At 40.3% G+C, this 18,132-nt stretch overlaps 1 protein-coding gene across 3 annotated transcripts in view, besides 1 other annotated feature; it reads right to left on the reverse strand.

Moving 5' to 3' along the window:
- The window catches only part of MAML2 (mastermind like transcriptional coactivator 2), a 366,598-nt gene that overhangs the window by 102,440 nt on the left and 246,026 nt on the right, over window positions 1-18,132 (reverse strand). For all 3 annotated transcript variants that reach the window (NM_032427.4, XM_011543023.4, XM_047427710.1), the window contains exon 2: window positions 12,855-14,480. In NM_032427.4, coding sequence (NP_115803.1) covers window positions 12,855-14,480 — 1,626 coding nt within the window. The remainder of the gene's footprint in view (window positions 1-12,854; window positions 14,481-18,132) is intronic.
- Window positions 16,748-17,042: a silencer, noted in NCBI's record as "tiled region #5330; HepG2 Repressive non-DNase unmatched - State 15:Elon". NCBI's record gives its function as "represses a minimal TATA promoter and a strong SV40 promoter by Sharpr-MPRA in HepG2 cells {active_cell/tissue: HepG2}" and the evidence as "EXISTENCE:reporter gene assay evidence [ECO:0000049][PMID:27701403]".

Consider the following 18,132-nt stretch of genomic DNA (forward strand, 5'->3'; position numbering starts at 1 on the left):
ATGTCAGCAAATGAACTGATTGGCATAAAAACCAAAATTCACCAGAGAGAAGGGCAAAACCACCAACATATTTTCAGTTGTAACCAGATCAGACTCTAATTGCCTAATACCTAATAAATAGGGGAATAAAAATCTGAAATCTCCTTTAGAAATAACTATTTTAGAATTTCATGGAAAATCTAATAATAAAACTTGATGTACTTGGGACTATGAAAATAATTTAAGTCTTTAACCAGACTTAAATTATATACATACACATGTATATTACACACACATGTGAAAAGGGAGAAAATAGGCCCAGAAAAATAACAATTATCTGACATTGGATTAAACACATGATTGAGCAAATTCCTTGAGGGCAAGGATTGTGTATTTAAGCTTTTTGGCTGAGAGATGCGGTGTGTGGAGAATGGCAAGAATCAGATAAACATGGATCTGGATTCCAGTTCTGCCACCTGCTTAACCTTAAGCAAATTACTAAGCCACTCCACTCTCAACCTCTTCATCTGCAAAGAGGAGAAAATTATTTCTATTTCCTAGAAATGTCATGGAGAAAGCACTTGGCATATAGTAGGTGCTCAACAAATGAGGCTTACCTCCTTATCCCTTCTTTGCATACTCTGTGGCACCAAAGACACCTAGGAAGCTTCTAACACTTTCCCCTTCACACGCCCTTGGTCAGGAAGCGACCATCAGATGAAATGCAACAAAATGAGAGAGTAAACAAACAAATAGAGAGACAAAAGGGATCCAGAAACAGGGAACCTGATCAAGGAAAGGAGTGAAGAGACTCTAAATATGGTGGCAGGAAGTCGTAGGACGACAGCTGTATCAGCAGGCCTAGGGAACACCCATTAAGGCTGTGGCTGGGCACAGAGGGCTGCTGTGGAGATGAGATGTATCAGTGTGGAAAACATATTGAGAAATGTTTCACAGAGCTGTTAGATGGTATGAGATGACAGCCAGAGATGTAAGGAAACTTCACAAATGAAAGAAAAGTTAGGTATATGACCCCTGGATAAGAATTATAATTACAGTGTACTGCTTATCTCAGCAGTAAATACTATTTATCCCTTCATAAATTCTGAAAACACTTATCTAAATTTTTTATCTGACTATATTGTGGCTAAAGGGAAGAGGAAGAAAGGGTTGAAAATAGAACTAAAATCTTCATCTACTATAATAAGATGTAATGGATACGGCCTAAAGTTAATAAATCAAGAGGTATCAGGTATGGATGCATTTAGGCACATAATGGTAAATACCAGGAGAAGCAACTAAAAATGATGAAAGTGGTTTCCTCCTGAGACTGAAAAGAGTGAGGGAAAAGGGGCCAGGGAATAGCTTTTGCATTTTAATATGATTTGTCTTTTCAAACTATATTTACGTGTTACTTTGATAAAGGTAAGACTCAAATTTAAACATGAAGACAGTAATTGCATTTTGGAATCATAAAATTCAAAATAATAGAATAAAATTGTAACAAAGGCAGTGAGCAAGGCCTGATGAGTCAAGGTAAAATCCTTAGCAGCAAGTTTGGGTCCAGACTTCTTGTGTTACGTCTCTCATTCCCATGCTCTTCCTACCACACAGCATACCCCAGTTATTACATTTCTCATGCAGTTGGCATGGTTTGCCACATATAGGCAATGATTAAGTATTTGCCGAATGATAAATAACTACACCAATTGCTGAATTGTTTTTTCTTCATGGTGATTTTGAATGAGTTTCGTCTGGGAAGTGCAGGCGTCATACCTGGAGTTCATAGTTTTGTTCTATCTGAAGGAGTAAGATTATCACATATTGAAAGGTTTCAGAAAGCTGGCCCTGAAACCTGAACCTGATTCTGAGGTAGACACTCCTCAGGTCTAATCCATTTTACATAATGCATGGGTTTGCCAGAGACTCGTTTGAGAAAACTGTTATTTGAGTGAGGCAATATAATGGGCATTTTAATTATGCATTCCTATAAGGTCTGTATGCCCTCTTCATGGGTTAAGCTACAACACTGGTTTGCAAACTAAGTCCTGAAGGAACTTAAAGTTCTGGGAGGTGCCTTAGGAAAATCCTGAAAAGGCAGGGGGTGAGGGAGTGGGGAGGAGGATAAGGGATGAAAGACGTGTTCTTGCTAAAAGAAAGTGTGAAAACTATTGAAATACATCTTCCGAAAACATTATACCTATAACCACATTATCTCAGCTTCCTGGAGGAAAGCCTTTACTGAATTAAAGTATAATACTGAATTAAAGCATAATATTCATTATGAATATGAATATTTATAATATTCATATAAGATTTTATAATGCAGCTTAAAAACAGAAACATCAAAGTCAACAGTGTCATGGTGTCTTTCCAAAATTCCCAGTGGAAGATGTCCATCAAGTTACCTAATTCCCCTGATGATAAATGTACCTTTGAATTTATTTCCAGGAAAAATTTGCCTCCATTTAATGAATGTGTATGGTTTTCATATATTTAAAAAAAAAACTTCTGTATTCCCACATTCTTCCTTTTGACCTTAGTTGCTTGGAAACTCAGAGTTAAATGAGGGCTCAGTTTTGAAAATCACCCATTGCAAGTTTCTACTAATATTTAATTTGTATTATTTTATCGGAGGGTGCTTATTTGCAATGAGAAGCAAACTAACGTTTGTCAATTGCCTTCAAGGCGCAGGCCCTGTGTTCGTTGTATATCTCATGGGTTATTTCATGCACCATGGAAAATTTTCAACAATCCTGAAAAACAGGTATTGTCATTGTCATTTTACAGATGACACAGCTTAGTTTCAGGGAATTTAAGTAAGTTGGCCAGAGTCACATGGACATGAAGATATTTGCAACAGTTTTGAAGTAATATATAAATTCTCAATAATGTATATTTTATATTAAAATTCATATAAAATTATTCAAACCCATTTCATTTTCGTTGATTTCAAGATTATACAGCCTACATATACACACACCCCCATCGCATAACTTCTTTTCTTTCTTTCCTTTGTCCTGCCTTTTTTTCTTTGCCTGTATATTGACACTTTCTCTCAGGCACTGTGTTTGCCCTTGGTGGTACAAAGATCAATTACATACAGACATGGTTTCCAGGAGCTTGAAGTCTAGTAGATGGGTTAAGGTATGGACTTAACTACAATTCAAGGTAGAAAGCAATGAATGTAATGAGAGATGCAAAATGCTTTGTGAGTTCAGAGAGGGGAAAAAGCAATGTCATGGTCCCAGCCCTCCAGGAGTTCACAGTTCGGTGGACCAGAGACCTAAACGAAATTATAATACAGTATGGTAAGAACTATACTGAAAGGTTTGCACTGTGCTGTGGGTACTAGAGGGAGAAGAAACTAACTTTGTTTCATGAAAAGGAGTGATTATAGCAACATGGACACTCAGGGAAGGGGATGGAGAGAGTGAAGGGCTGGGGTTCCAAGATACCAGCAGAACTGCCTAACAAAGTGGACAGGATGTTACAGCCAGTAGGGATCAGACAGTGGTAGGGCAAAAGGCATTCATAGGGAGGAGAGCTGACGCTGTGAGGTCGAGCCCCAGGAAATGATTGTATCTGGGGTAAAGCTGCAATTCCAGGAAGGAGGTCTGGCAAAAGCAATAGAGATAACTAGAACGCCAGTTACTGGCCTCATCCCTAAGGAGTATGGAGCAAGGCAGAATTGCTTAGACACGCTGTCCAACTACCATCTGGAGGGACAAGGTAGCTGGAAAGAAGGAGGTAAAAAGGAGAATTACAGTATCAAAGCACGAAGGCAGCAGCAGTGGAGGCAGAGACGTGGATGGTCATGCAGTGGTGTCGGCAGTAGCACCTGGGAAGGGAGAGAGGAAGTATGCTGACTGCAACGGTTCTAAGCCTGGTTCAAAACGGGGCTCAAAGGGGTACAAGAGTTAATGAAAGTCATTTTTGAAGAATGCTGGGGTTTGAACATGATTGAAGATAGAAAGGAGAGAGTAAAGATGTAAGATACAATGATTGATGGAATACATCTCCTGGAGCAAGAGCTGAAGTTCAATGTTGGCCTCTGAGAAGTGGCACGTGGGGTGCAAGGGAGAAAATGAGACAGAGGATGGGTGAATTCTTGACATTCTGATGTCGGTAGGAGCTGCCCCCCTCCAGTGTGTTCTTTATCCTGCTACTAGAGTGACTTTTCTACAAAGCAATTTTGATTCACTGACATTCAATGCATTTGAATTAAGTGATTACCTTTTGCCAGGTACAAGTTATATTTCTGCTTATAAACTACCTGTGCAGTTTTTTTCATGACTTTCCATTGCCTTCAGGATGAGAGAAAAAAAGTCACTTGGAGTATCCTCAGTGAAACTCTCTTACTTTACTTTTATCCGTATGATTTCCCCAGCATATAGGCCAGTCCAGCCCCCATCAATAGGGCCTCTTCAGAATCACATCTCATAGATTTGATCCATGGGGCAGCTGAGAGGGAATTCTCTGCTTTCCAGCTCTGACTAGAACTGGAAGGACTAGGACTCAAACTAAGACTAGGTCCATGGGCAAATGTTGTTTAGAGAGCAGACTTGGTATGGAGGAAGGTGGAAGTGCTAGCTCCTGTTCCTAACTTCTGTTGGGGGAGGGGATGGGCTCTTAAAGCCCCAGAACAGAAGAAAGGACGATAAGTCAATGGTATAATTTATTTGTCCACATGTTCAACAACTAAGTTTTGGGTCCCTGCAACATAGTAGATGTGTTAGGGGTTGGAATACAGTGGTGAATAAGACAGATGCCACCCCTGTATTCAACTAGCTTGCAGTGTAGTTGGGGGAGATTCACAAGAACAAAGATATATGAGAGGTAATCCATGCTCAAAGAGAAGAAGCAGAGGGAGCTACCAGACCATATAGGATGGGAGCTAATCCATATTAGGAGACCAGGGAAACCTTCTGGGGGAAATGAAGTCTTAGCTGAGACTGAAGAAAATTTAGGATTAGGTTAGCCAAGCTGAGTAGATCAGAAGTGTTCCAGGCAGAAGGAACAGCGTATTTGAAGACCTGGGGGTGAGAGAAAGCATGACACTTCTCAGGAACTGGAGGACATTTATTATGAAGGTTGCTAAGTGTAGAGTGTATATGAGTTTGGGGAGAGGATGGGTGAATGGGTAGGAGTCAAGGGAAGAGAAAGGCTGGGAATGAAAACCAATGACTTTGGAGACTTCGGCAGGATTCAGATCATACAGGGCTTTATAAGCTGCCTATGGAGTTGGACTTTCTCCTGAGAAAATGAAGGCCATTTAAAGGTTTTATGCAGGTGATGACATGATCAAATTCCTATTTTAGAATGCTCACTCTGGTTTCATGTTGGCAAGACTGGAAGGAGGCAGGCCAGTTAGCAAGCATGAGAGGCAAGCAGGAACAATGGTCAGAAGCTGTTCTGGATATGTTTTATCCAAGGGCATGTCCATCCAGAGACTGGGGGATGTGGAGATGGGCTGGCCAGCTTATTAGCCTCATGCCTCTTCCCAGCATGGGAACATCCCTTCACCACTGTTGCCAATAATAACTCCAGCGGCTACATGTCCCCACCCTTCCACCTTTCAAGGCCTGCGATGAAACAGTCTTAAGTCAGTCAGGGCAAAGAGGCTGGTTCAAAATTGGTCTGCAGGGAAAGGGTCAAAGAAGAGAGAGTACAGCCAAGGGGAGAAAGAACTGGACAAAGACTCAGAGTCACACAGTAGAGACGTGAGCCAAAGACCAGAAAGTGCGATACACACACTCCTGTGCTCACCCACACAGACCTGTGGACTACCAAGCAGGACCCAGTAAGCTCCCTGTTTATGAAATTCATGTTTCATAAAGGTGGAGCTGAACTTAAGAGCCCGTGAAAAGCAAACTGTGGAAAATGCTAGTGGTTAAGGGTGGAGAGAACTCACAGTAGAATGAAGGGGAAACAGGTCAACCACCCCTGTTCTTTCATCATCGAGGATCTTGAAAACTTGATTTAGCAGGATGCACAGGGAAGCAGTCATTGGCTTCCCTCTATTATGTTCAACTTAATTTATTGCTTGGAGAATTAGGCACCACTTTATTGTTCAGATTCATTGCATCAAATGCAAACATTCAGCCAGAGTTCTCTAATTAGTATCCAGAGAGCTGCCTAGGCTATGCGTATGTGTGTGTGTGTGTGTTTAAGTTTGGTTTCTCCTGCTTGAGACACAATGTAAAAGGGTTAAGATGATTCACTGACATTACACTTCTCTGATCCTACTAGTCTAAACATTTGTACGGTCTTCTGTTTGAAACCCAGAACTCCTTATAGTAAACACCTTCTGAATCTCAAGTCTTTGTGCCTAACTTTAATTAACCATTAATGTGCAAATTTACTGATTAGTGAACTGGCTAAATGGGTTTTTGCCTCCTTTGGATTTCACAAAAAGAACCACCACCCCCTTCTACCAAACTGATAACAACTGACATCTGATTAGAAAAGGCAAAACTAATTAGAATGAGTGCAAAGGGGATTGTTTGAGTCACCTACATTAATGCACATTACAGTTAAATATCTGTCAGATTTTCCATTAACCCTCTTGCATTTCCATCTCCAGGTTCAAATCTATTTCTTAACCCTACACCCCTTCTTTCCCTAGTTGGAAACTTGGTATTCAACAGGCTAACTTACCCACTAATGCTTTAAATGCACAGCTCTTATTGATGGATGTGACACACAGACAAAGACCTTGGAATGAGAATAATAGAAGCCATTCCCCTAACTGTGGAGTTGAACCGTATGTATTATGATCCCAAGGCTAACATGTTCTTCTTGTTATTGTGTTCATTTCTTTATGGAGGGAAAGAGGAGTTAATTGTTGCCTTACACAAATTCACTCCATTGTGCTCTGAGCTATTACATACTAGGATAACAAAATAAAATAGAAAATAAAGTAGAATATCCAGCAAAGAGAGTTCTATTCTGTGAAAGGTTAAAAAACATGTTTAAAATGAAATTTGTTGACTTAGGGGAAATGCCCACATGATTTTTGCTCACTTCTTATATAGAATGGATTGTTAAGGATTGAGAAAACGTAATGTAATTACTCAATGGGAATTCACAAAGTAATAAGGACAGATACCTCCTTCAGATCAAAAGCTCAGCCAGGGAAGGAACCATGTTTTCCTGATCTTTGAGATTATATGAGTATGAAGGGGGTCATTTAATCTTTTAATCCCCAGTTCCTGGCACATTGTAGGTGCTCAATACATTTTCATCATATGAACGAATGAAGGCAAGAATTATGGTTTCATCCCATTGTGAAACTCTAACAGTAATCCTGAAAAGATTCTTAAATTTGAATGGATGATGTTAAAGAGAAAGAGAATGAATGAATTTTCTTTATTATGTAAAATACCTAACAAAACTCCAGAAATGTTTGCTTTAAAAATTAAACTGCATTCTCACTTCCTTGTGTTTTTTTTTTCCCATTTTAATCTGGGAACAGAGGTACCAAGAAGCCCAGCAGCAAATCAGCCTAGCAATAGAAACAAGAATATGCCTGCAATATGATGAAAATAGCTCAATTTGAAAACAATCTGATTGTTTAATTTTTTAAAAACTCTGAAAATTTTACACTTCCATTACTGCACCACAATTTCTTATTTGATCTCAGGTGTAGCATCAGTAATCCAGAACTGTGCTTGGCAAATAGCAGGCACACAATAAATATGTTTTTAAACAAGTGAATAGAAGCTTAGCTAGAGCTAAGAATGGAGCAATATTCAGTAAGCTCATGGCTCCTGGTAGGCATATCAGGAAACTGAGAGATCTGTGGATTCAGATAAGGCAAGGTCAGTGTGAATTTGACTAAAGATCCCTCCCTACATTCGAATTGACCTAAATTTTTCCCGAGGTGGTGATTTTGCCTGGGACTGTAGAAAACAGTGAAATTTCAAACATATATCATAAAGAAGGCCCTGACAGCACAACCCAAACCACCTCTACCTATTTCCTTAATTTAGGCAGCATAGTAATTATGAGCCCTGACTGTAAAATCAGGCCAATTACTAACCATAACCCTGAGCAAGTGATTTGATCTTTCTGAGCATCAGTGTCCTCACCTGTGAAAAACGGTTGATTATAGCTACCATTTGAGTTATTCGTATATGGCACAAAGTTAGTGCTAATGTTAAAACCAACCAACCAACAGAATAACGACAGAAGAACAAAAAAGACACCAAGTTCCTCCTGCTAATTTTCCAATTATGATTCTTCAATACTAATTATATCAACATATGTATCTGGAAATTCACTCTACATTCTAGTCAAGCACTAGTTTCACGGAGTATTAAAGACAAATTTTTCTTTCCTTTGTAACTTAAAAGATAAATGGTGAAATATCAAAAATAAAATGAAAATGTAAACATAATGCTCCTGGCCTCCCACAGACAACCCACAGTATGTCTGTATCAACCTTGTTCCCTTTTGCCAAGAGTCAGCCAAGGTGAGTTATAAAGAAATCATCAAATGGTGAAGAGTCACTTGCAGTGATCACCTACCATCTCTCGAGTCTCTATCCCATCTTCACTATAGATTTCATGTCATTATATTTACCCTTGACCGCAGGTATGTCACCATTTTTTTAGCCTCCTTCTTTGTTCTGAATATACTGACAAATTTTGTTTCTCAGCTTTTTTAGGACTTTGGCTTGGTTTTACTTTGGCCCTCCAGGCTCCTGACTTCCTCTAACCTATTCTAGCCTATGAACCCAAACTCTGGCACCAGCCTAATTGGGTTACCCTTCAGGCAACCTCTAGGATCCAGCAAAGGAGTGGCTTGGATATCATACTATTGCAAAACACCAAATTCATGATTATTTTCCCATTGGAAAAGGCGTTTCCAGCTGATACAAGATTTCTATTTCTTCTCTGGCCCTTTCATTGGACAATTATAAGGATTTAGAGGTATTGTCAGCATATGAAAGTTACATTGATTTCCCCACTGCCACCCAGGCCAATTTGGAAACAATTTTCTGTGTGTTCATCCTTAAGATTAGATATATACAATACTACCTTAAAGAAGTGGGGCAGAGAACATTAGGAGATGTGCCTGATTTACACCAAGGGTTGATATGGTGTAGAGAAGGATAAACTTGGCTAGGAAGAGAGAGTAGGGTGAGGTTATTAATATATGATTGAGGAACTTGGCTTTAAACTAAGGAGGCAATGTACAAATTTATGTTTCAGTCATAACAAACCATCCATTCACTGGCTGCCTTCCCTCCAAGAAGTTTTAGATATGGGAGAATTCTAAGCCAAATATAGAATCCACTTGAGTTGCATGGATCCAATGTTAGAAAAAAATTCACACTTTTAAGTGACTGATTATATAGCTCTGAAAAAGATCACTTTTTGGTTCAAGAGGTAAGCACTTTTGGCTTAAACCCTCATGAGCCCTGATCAGCCAATAACTCTTTCACAACTTAAGTAAGTGCTCACTGACTTGAAGATAAATCAGAAATGCATTCATTGCATCCCCGTCTTGCCCTATCCCATAATCCTCAAATCAGGAAGGGAAGAAAATTATAGCCAAGAGGTATCTCCATGTGCCAAGCTACAAATATTAGCAAGACAAGAGTCTGCTATAGACATTTTGTAAAACACCAAATAGCATTTGTTTTCCCCATCTCTGGAGAAGAGGTTACTTAAAACCACCCCAAACATGGAGCAATAAGGATTTATTAAACAATTTTATTATGCTGCATCCATCTCTCAGGCATCATTTACCTGTAGGAAAATAGAGGTAGGTACACAGTAAAAGAGAAGGGGCACAGGAATTGCCCACATTCAGTCTCTAGCTGCAAATATGGATCTGTCTGGGTTCAGAGTTCCGACAGGTAAAGGGAAGGTCACCTTGCATATCTATGAGGTGAACTGCAAGCAACTGATCAACAAATTTAGTCTACCAATTTGTAGCAGAGAACCAAGATTTTCATCAGGCTAAAGAGCTTCAAGTAACAAATCCCACAGTAAATCGTCCTGTTTGACACAAAGTGAGTATGACAAGCAGAAAAAAAAAATACATGACTAGTGTTTTCCTTTAAGATGTTTCAGTTGATAAATTTAAGAGTTGCTTAACTCCAAATCCCCCACCCTACCCATGACTTTGGTCATCGGTAACAGAGATTTAGCTGTTCTGGAATGAGAACAGACATTTGTACTGTCTATTATAGATGGAAGAGTTAAAACTACTCTGAGTTGAGAATACATGCCAACACACTGGATGAGACAACGAGAATCAGAAGAACCTTAGAAGTATGTATATCAAATACAAGTTGCTTCCCAAAATTAACATCTTGAGAAGGAGCTCACTTTCTTTAACTGCCTTCAGAGAAAGCTCACACACCACACTTGCAATGCAGCCTTGTCACATCATAGTTACCCCTTGGTTTTGACCCAAAGCAGCATTACCTGACTTGACTGTTTGCAAAAATTGCCCTGATAGGATGAATGTTACTGTGTTGGTAATAATCTACCAAATGTGCTATAAGCCCTAGAGACAATCCCCAGAGAAAATTCTATAGCTGTATTGAACAATAGCATCATTATCAGAATGTGTATACTTCCCTCCTAAATGTGAATGCTTTCCAAAGGGCAATACTTACTTGACTACACAGCTGAAGTATACTTGCTTAAAACTCAGCCACATGATTTTGGGATCATATGTTATAGAATTATTGATCTGGAAGGGACAATGTGGTTCAGTCTATAAAGCTGGGATAAAGCTTTAAATGGGTGGCTACTCCCTGTATCGAAGAGAGGCCCTTAACTTGAAATACTGCCACATTTCCACCACTTTTTAAGGGCCTTTTGGAAGAGATGAAAATTACCTCTGTATCATATATGTCATATGCCCTAGGAGAATGTAAAAAATTATCTAAGGCATTGGAACATGTTTGTTGATTTGGCCGTCAGCACCAGAGCTATTGAACCTCTCTGTGCCTCAATTCTCTTACTCGTAACATGGAAATAATGGCATTTCCCTCATACGGATGAAATGAGATGCCACAAGTAAGGGAGGCAGAAGTCATGCCGGTTATAAATGCTAACTCATTGCTATCTCATTATTTATAATTTCCATTTTTATGGTCAGAAGTCTGGGCCTAGAAAGGGTAAACTGCAATACACTCAAGCTGCTGGATAGTGAAAAATTAGAGATAATTCTCTTTTATTTATTTCCCCGATACTGGTTATGTTAGAACTTGGGATTTACTCCAATGCCTCTCCTATAAAATAGCAGTGCTTTTTTAAAAATAACATTTTGGTGATTTATGGCTCTTTCCATAATCATTATAGTAATCAACTTATTCTAGACTCTGGACTGAGAATTACCTCATTTTATTTTCAATACACTCCTAGGAGATTTTCTTTTCACTCCTATTGATAGGTGAGGAAATAGGCTTAGAGAAGTTCAGTGAGTCCCTTGAGGTGACACAGCTAAGACTGTCAGAGTAAGAATTTGAACCTACATTCATCCAAATCAAAGTGCCTGCATATAGCATTAGAAAATAGTTCTACGACTTGTTTTTAAATGCTCCCAAAATTCCCTGGGTTAAAAAAGGAATTTTGTAAAAAAACATATGTGTGTATATATATGTCTGTACTCCAAGTCCATTCTCCAAAATCTATAATTTTTTAAAAACACACTTCTTAAGTAGAAAAGGGCTGAAAGCTGTGCTTAGTGCATAACTTTTGAATCCTCTTTGAGTCTGGTGTTCTCTTGGCCAACAACTAGGGCAAAGGTTAGCTTGGACAGAGTTTGTGGTGTTTGTGGCATTCTTTTCTGGGCAATAGCCACGAAAACTACTCTAGGAATGTTATTGGAATTAGGATCTGCACCATCGCACTGTCCTGAGATAATTTTTTGACATATAATGTGCTATCTTTGTGCTTAGATAGATAACGCAGACCTGTCAAATTACACGCACAAAGCTATATTCAAAGTTCCTTCCTTCCTTCCAGAAAGAGTTTTTTCTTTTAGGTTCCCTGGGGATCAGGACTTACTCATCAATATGTGCTCTGGAGGCACAGAGCTATGCCTTCATATTGTTCACGTTTGGGGCGGAATAAACCTCTGTTTTATGTTAACCAAACGATGTAAGGTTACCAGAGATTTTTTTTATCTGTAGTCGTGATAATTTCATCTTTTAACATTTAACTCAGACTTTGGTTTTCCAGAAGCCTTCCCTGATTTCCCTTTGCCGGGTAAGATACCCAAACTCTGTGCTCTCATACCTAGCATTGAAATGGTAGTTTAAAAATCCCGTCTCCCTTTCCTTACTGTGCTTGCAGACAGGGATCATGTTTTATTTCAGGCTGATATTCGGTCCACATGCATCACAGGGAGTCATCGCAGGATCATTATGATCATTGGGCATTTAAATATTCCAGTTGGTTGGTGCAGGTGTAGATCAGTCATTTAATACTCAATCCCACCTCCAGCTTTATTCAATACTCAGCATAATAACAACATCTTGCACATGGTAGGTACTCAGCAAGTGCACATTGACTTAATGACTAATTTACTGCTTGGATAAGTGACCATCTGATTGACAACTGGATATGTCACTAACAGCATACATTATAATGCTCTATTCTGAGTAAGCAAGAACCTTTGATCATTACAGATCACAATGATACTAATGCTCTACAGGGAAGTACTAGTCCTTGCCTCTAGATGCCCTCAACGAACCAGGCTTTATGAGGTCTTCATATGACTCCATCAAGACCACTACTGTCTTTGGTCTTGATCTTGTCCCAATACAAACATAATGGTAACCACAGCATAAAGATCAAGCTAAATGGTCTCTGGGAACTCTGTATTTGGAGTAGTAGAGCCCTTACCTGTCTCTGTTGTTGGGAGACTTGGTATCCCATTCCTGCAATGGGCTGATTCTGCATTTGCTGAAGTAGGAGCTTTTGCTGAAGTGGCAAAGGTGACCTTAGCAAAGGCTGGCTTGGTAGAGATTGGGCAGGCTGAGAAGATGGTTGTTGCTGCTGCTGCTGCTGCTGTTGTTGCTGTTGTTGTTGCTGCTGCTGCTGCTGTTGTTGCTGCTGCTGCTGCTGTTGGGCTGAAATTGAGCTCTGCTGCTGTTGCTGTTGTTGAGCTGAAATTGAACTCTGCTGTTGCTGTTGCTGTTGCTGTTGCTGCTGCTGCTGCTGTTGCTGCTGCTGCTGCTGCTGCTGCTGCTGCTGCTGCTGCTGTTGCTGCTGTTGCTGTTGGGTGTAGTGTAGGAGAGAAGGCTTGTTCTGGGAAGGCAAAACAGAAGGCATCTGCTGGTTCGCTTGATCTGAGTTAAAATGAAACAAAGGCTTGGTGTTGCCCTGACGGGGCTCCATGGCTGGGTGCGGGTTGTTAATAAAACTTCGACTGAGATCCTGAGGCTTTTGCTGCATGAGGACATCTAGGTGCCCACCCTGGGCTGAGGGGCCGGCCTTGTACATGTAGTTAGCCATTACTTTCGACTGGCCGCTGCCGCCAGCTACCCCAGGCATGGGGGAGCTCTGTGGGCTGAATGTCTGCTGACCAAAAGAAGGGCTGGGGATTTTCTCCTGCCCAAATGGACCTGGTGATGGTCCAGCAGAAGAGGGCAAGGCTGACCAGTTGGTAGGCTGGTGCTGCTGCTGGTGCTGCTGCATCCGGGCATGCTGCTGACGATTAGCAGCTATCTGTTTGAGCTGCTGGGCATGGGATACTTCCTGCCAGCTTGGCAAGGCCCGGCTTGCTCCGGAGCCTGTCTGAGGCTGAGCCTGGCTCTGAGGGACTGAAGGGATTGGAGACGAAGTGGAGAGGGCAGAGTTGGCCATGGAGAATGCGGGGCCAGCTGATGGGGGCCTCAGCTGAGGAGAGCCTGAGGGGCCCTGAGTCAAGCCCGGTGAGTATTCACTTTTGATCACTATTTTCTCCATGGGTAAGGAGGGCCTAGGTGTGCTCCTCTGGCTTTGCTGACCCAAGTCAATGTTAAATGGGTCATCCTGCTTTATGGTGGCATTGATCATGTTCTCCAGTTCAAGGTCACTCATGGGAGGCACAGATATGTTGGTCAGTTCATTGAACAGTTCCTGCAGCTCAGGATCCATCAGTTGTTCTCCAGGGTCGTCTCCGTACCTATTAGGAAAAATATTCTCTTGGGTCATTTGGCCATCCATGTGCTTACTGCAAGACAGAGTCTCTCCTGGCTCCTTCTTTACCTCCTTTAAGCCCATGTTAAACAGGCCATTGCCAGGAGAATGTGTATGGGATGGCAGAGTGTTAGTCTTTCGCAGGGGTGCTTGGCTCATAGGCAAGGTCCCTGACATAATCTGACTTTGTCCATTGTTTATTTGGAGGCCACCTTGTCCTGCAGAGAGATTCTCCCCAACACGAATTCTTTTGATATCAAGAAATGAGTTGTCCACAAAGCCATTGGGTCGCTTGCTGTTGGCAGGAGATAGGTTAACTACCTGTTTTCTTTTCAAGGAACCCTGGAGCTGAAAGACAGAAGGGAATAAAAAGGAAAAATAAGAAATATGAATCCAATGATGCTTCTCATAAAAAGTGATGTGATATTTAAATGTTTCTTCTATTTACACACAAGATTCAGTTTTTTAAAAAAATGGCACAGAGAGAGCACAAATGAAGCACAATCTGGATTATAATAAAACTCTCAGTAGCACAAACACAACAAAATAAAATATTTCTGGAGGAGCAGATCAATTAGGTTAGAGATCAGTGGTTCCCATGAGTGGTTCATAGGTCAATGGATACAGATTCCTTCAAATATCATAAGAAGTTATTCACAGTACCTAAGATTAAAGCATTGTTATTTTCTGGAGCAAGCCAAAATATTCCACATGCATGCACACACAACTCCTCGCAGCTACAGATGATCAGAGTGTGCACAATTTTAAGCAAGATAGAAAACACTCACAAGTCTAAAGCTGGGAACAAATCTCTAGTTTCTTTTTTTTTTCACAGACCCAACCCCTTCATCACTATTATCCTCTAAGTAAGTAATTAGAATAGTTCTCAGGCCTAAGGAGATATGCTATTATTGTTCATCTACTTTTCTTCCTATAATTCCACTGCTTTGCATCCAAGCCTATGTAGCAACCTTATGTGGACACACAAAAGTCATGAGATGATCATTCCTCATATGAGATACTTTAAGCACTGATTTTCCTGGGAATTCATTTCTTCTGTTTCCTGTAACTAAATCTCGTTACCAAAACGAAAGTGTTAATTGCTTAGGCTCTGGAAGCAGACAAAACTGAGCTCAAGTGCCAATTCTGTCACTGGGTGCTATGTGACCTCAGCAACTTACCTGAGCCTCAATTTTCTCATCTAGAAAATGGGGACAATAGCACTTAACTCACAGGAAGGGATGAGATAATGCATATAAAAGTTTAGAAAGTGCCTGTTACAGTAACAACTCAATAAACAACAATTTGTAGAAAAAGTATGGCTTACTACATGCTGAAAGGGGAGCTTGTCTAAACAGCAACATGTTTAAGTTTTTTTGTGACTGTTAAAGTACTTCATTCACAAACTAGCAATCAGATTATACTTTATGAGCCTTAAAATTTACAGAGAAAGTCTTAAGGGCCATATAAGCACACTAATACATTAAAAAAGAAACATAAAGCATTCATCATTCGTCCTCATATCCTTGTTGATTTGTCTCTGAAGTGAGAGACCATATCTACCAAAGTGTGGCTTTCCCAGTGCTGCAGACCCACTGAAATTATTCAATGTTTTCTCAGCATAACTGTAAAATACACGAGGCAAGAAAACATTTCCTAGATAGAAAATTCTATCACTTCTCCTATCTTCTCTTCTCACTTATGGCTGCTCTCTCACCTGCCTGAAGATTTCTAGGTAGACTAATCAAGAAAAGGAAATTAACATAACTGAGTATATATTACATATCAAACACTTGAATATGGTTACTTTATTTCCCTTAATCTGCACAACAATCCCATTAGAAAGGTATTATTACCCTTAATTTATAAATAAGGAAAGCAATACTCAGAGAGACTAAGTAACTTGCCCAGGGTCACACAGCTAGCAAGTGGGCTTTAACTCAAAGTTTGTGTGGTTCTAAAGCATATGTCATTTACACTCTAACATGCTCTAATTAGTTTGTTCAGGGCTAGGATCAACCTAGTATAAAGGGGCCAGGGGCAGTAACTACAGAGACATCCTAGATTTCAGGTAAAATGATGAGGAATATGGGAATGGCCAGGATGCAGTATAGAGCTGAGTGGGAAAAATCTGCTTTTTGTCATCTGGCTCATCAATATTTGTTTCAATCATCCCTTATTTGTAGTTTTTCTCACTCACAGGTGGTAAATAGTTATGGTGAATGTGTCATGTTGGTACAACAGATTATAACCTTATATCATTGCTGATTGGTAATCAGAGAAAGGAACCTGACCCAAGACAGGGCAATTACTCCCTTCCATGGGAATTTTGGATTTGGAGAAAGTGAGACCAGGCTCTCTTTAGGTGGCTGTATCTACAGAACTTGTGAGCTGTTGTTCCATTGTGTTAACTAGAGCCATAGAGGAAGCAAATCTGTAGAAAGAGAGAAAAATGAAGCAGAGGAGAGACACGTTTTAATACCATTCGGGGGCTTGTTTCCAATCCCAGGTCAGCTCTGCTTGTTTTCTTTGATACATTATGGAATCTTTATAATGAATTTCCCTATTGCTTAAGCTAATACAAATTGGGCATCTGTTACTTTCAACAAAGAGTTCTAACCAAGTTGCCTGAGACTTCACATTTAGTGATGAACAATTTGCAGCAAGGGGCTAGGCATGCTTTGTACCTGGGTGTGAAGCTTCCCCTCTCCCCACATCTCTGCTGTCTCTGCATGATTTGCTGACTCCTAATCTTGTCCACTCACTGGTGTAGACATCATCACAGAACATGGTCAGCTATCACCACATCCAGCAGAAACTCAGAGTTACCACTGTCTATCCTCATGGGGTCAGGAAGAACACAGACCAGAGAGAGTCAGCCATGTTGCTTCTGATTTATTTCAGCATAAATTGCATTTTGAAGGTTCTTTCACAACTAGGAAAGAACAAACAAAGGAGTACATTCTTTTTCCGAATTTGGGTTATCACCTTTGATTTATTTTCCACTGCTTTGAAAAAACCTGTTCAGCCAGATTCTCTCACTGCTCTGGCCACTCCCTGGGCAGTGCAGTATGCGCTCTGGGAAACAGCACTCACACTTTCTTTAGGCTATGAGGAGTGTAGAGACAGTAATAGAATTAGTGATAATTGTATAATAATGAGTCATTTATTGAAGGTCTGCATGTGAGACATCGTACTAAGCACTTTATGTGGATAATCTTATTTAACTCTCACAACTCTCAGAATCTTCACAACTCTATATAAAGTTGATATTATTTCTTCCCCTCCCCGCTTTTGCAGATGAGAAAACAGGTTTAGAGGTTGAGTATCTTTTCAAAGGACAGACAGAGTAAGCAATGAAGTCAGGAATCAAACCACACATTCCCACTGCACAGCCTGTGCTCTGTAGTAAGTGACACCCTAGGCCCTGACAGAGGTAAATGGTACCTACACCTGTGTCTTCAGGAAGCCAGGGATCTCGTCCCGATTCTTCCATTAATTTGTTTTGTTACTTTAGGGAAAATACTCAACTTTTCTGGGCCACAGTTTTCTTCTCCTTTATAAATGGGATTATCTCTGAGATCATTATCCTGCCCAAAGCCAGAAAATAACAAGCACTAAAGGAGGGAAGTTTGTGTTCCAGGCACTATGTGTGGTGGTGTAAGGTCACCACCAAGCACAGCTGGAGGGATTCCTTAAGATGGGGGACAGAAGAAGTCATGTGTGATTCCATTAGGATAAAAGACACCCATCAAAACTTCACTGGGCATGATACTTTACCAAGAGAATTTTGGGGATAGGCTGTGCCCTGCCTTCTAGAAGTTTTTAATCTAGTTATATCACCGAGGCCCACTGTGAATGCCTACATGCAGTAGGCACCAAGCTACTGGCACCAGCACCATACAATCTAAATGATTCTCAAGGATCACTTTTTGCTTTGAAATATCTCCTTTGCTGGACTAAAATTCTTTCATTAGATACATGGTTTGAATTATGGTAT

This window comes from Homo sapiens, chromosome 11 (genome assembly GCF_000001405.40).
Source record: "Homo sapiens chromosome 11, GRCh38.p14 Primary Assembly".
NCBI classification, from domain to species: Eukaryota; Metazoa; Chordata; class Mammalia; order Primates; family Hominidae; genus Homo; species Homo sapiens.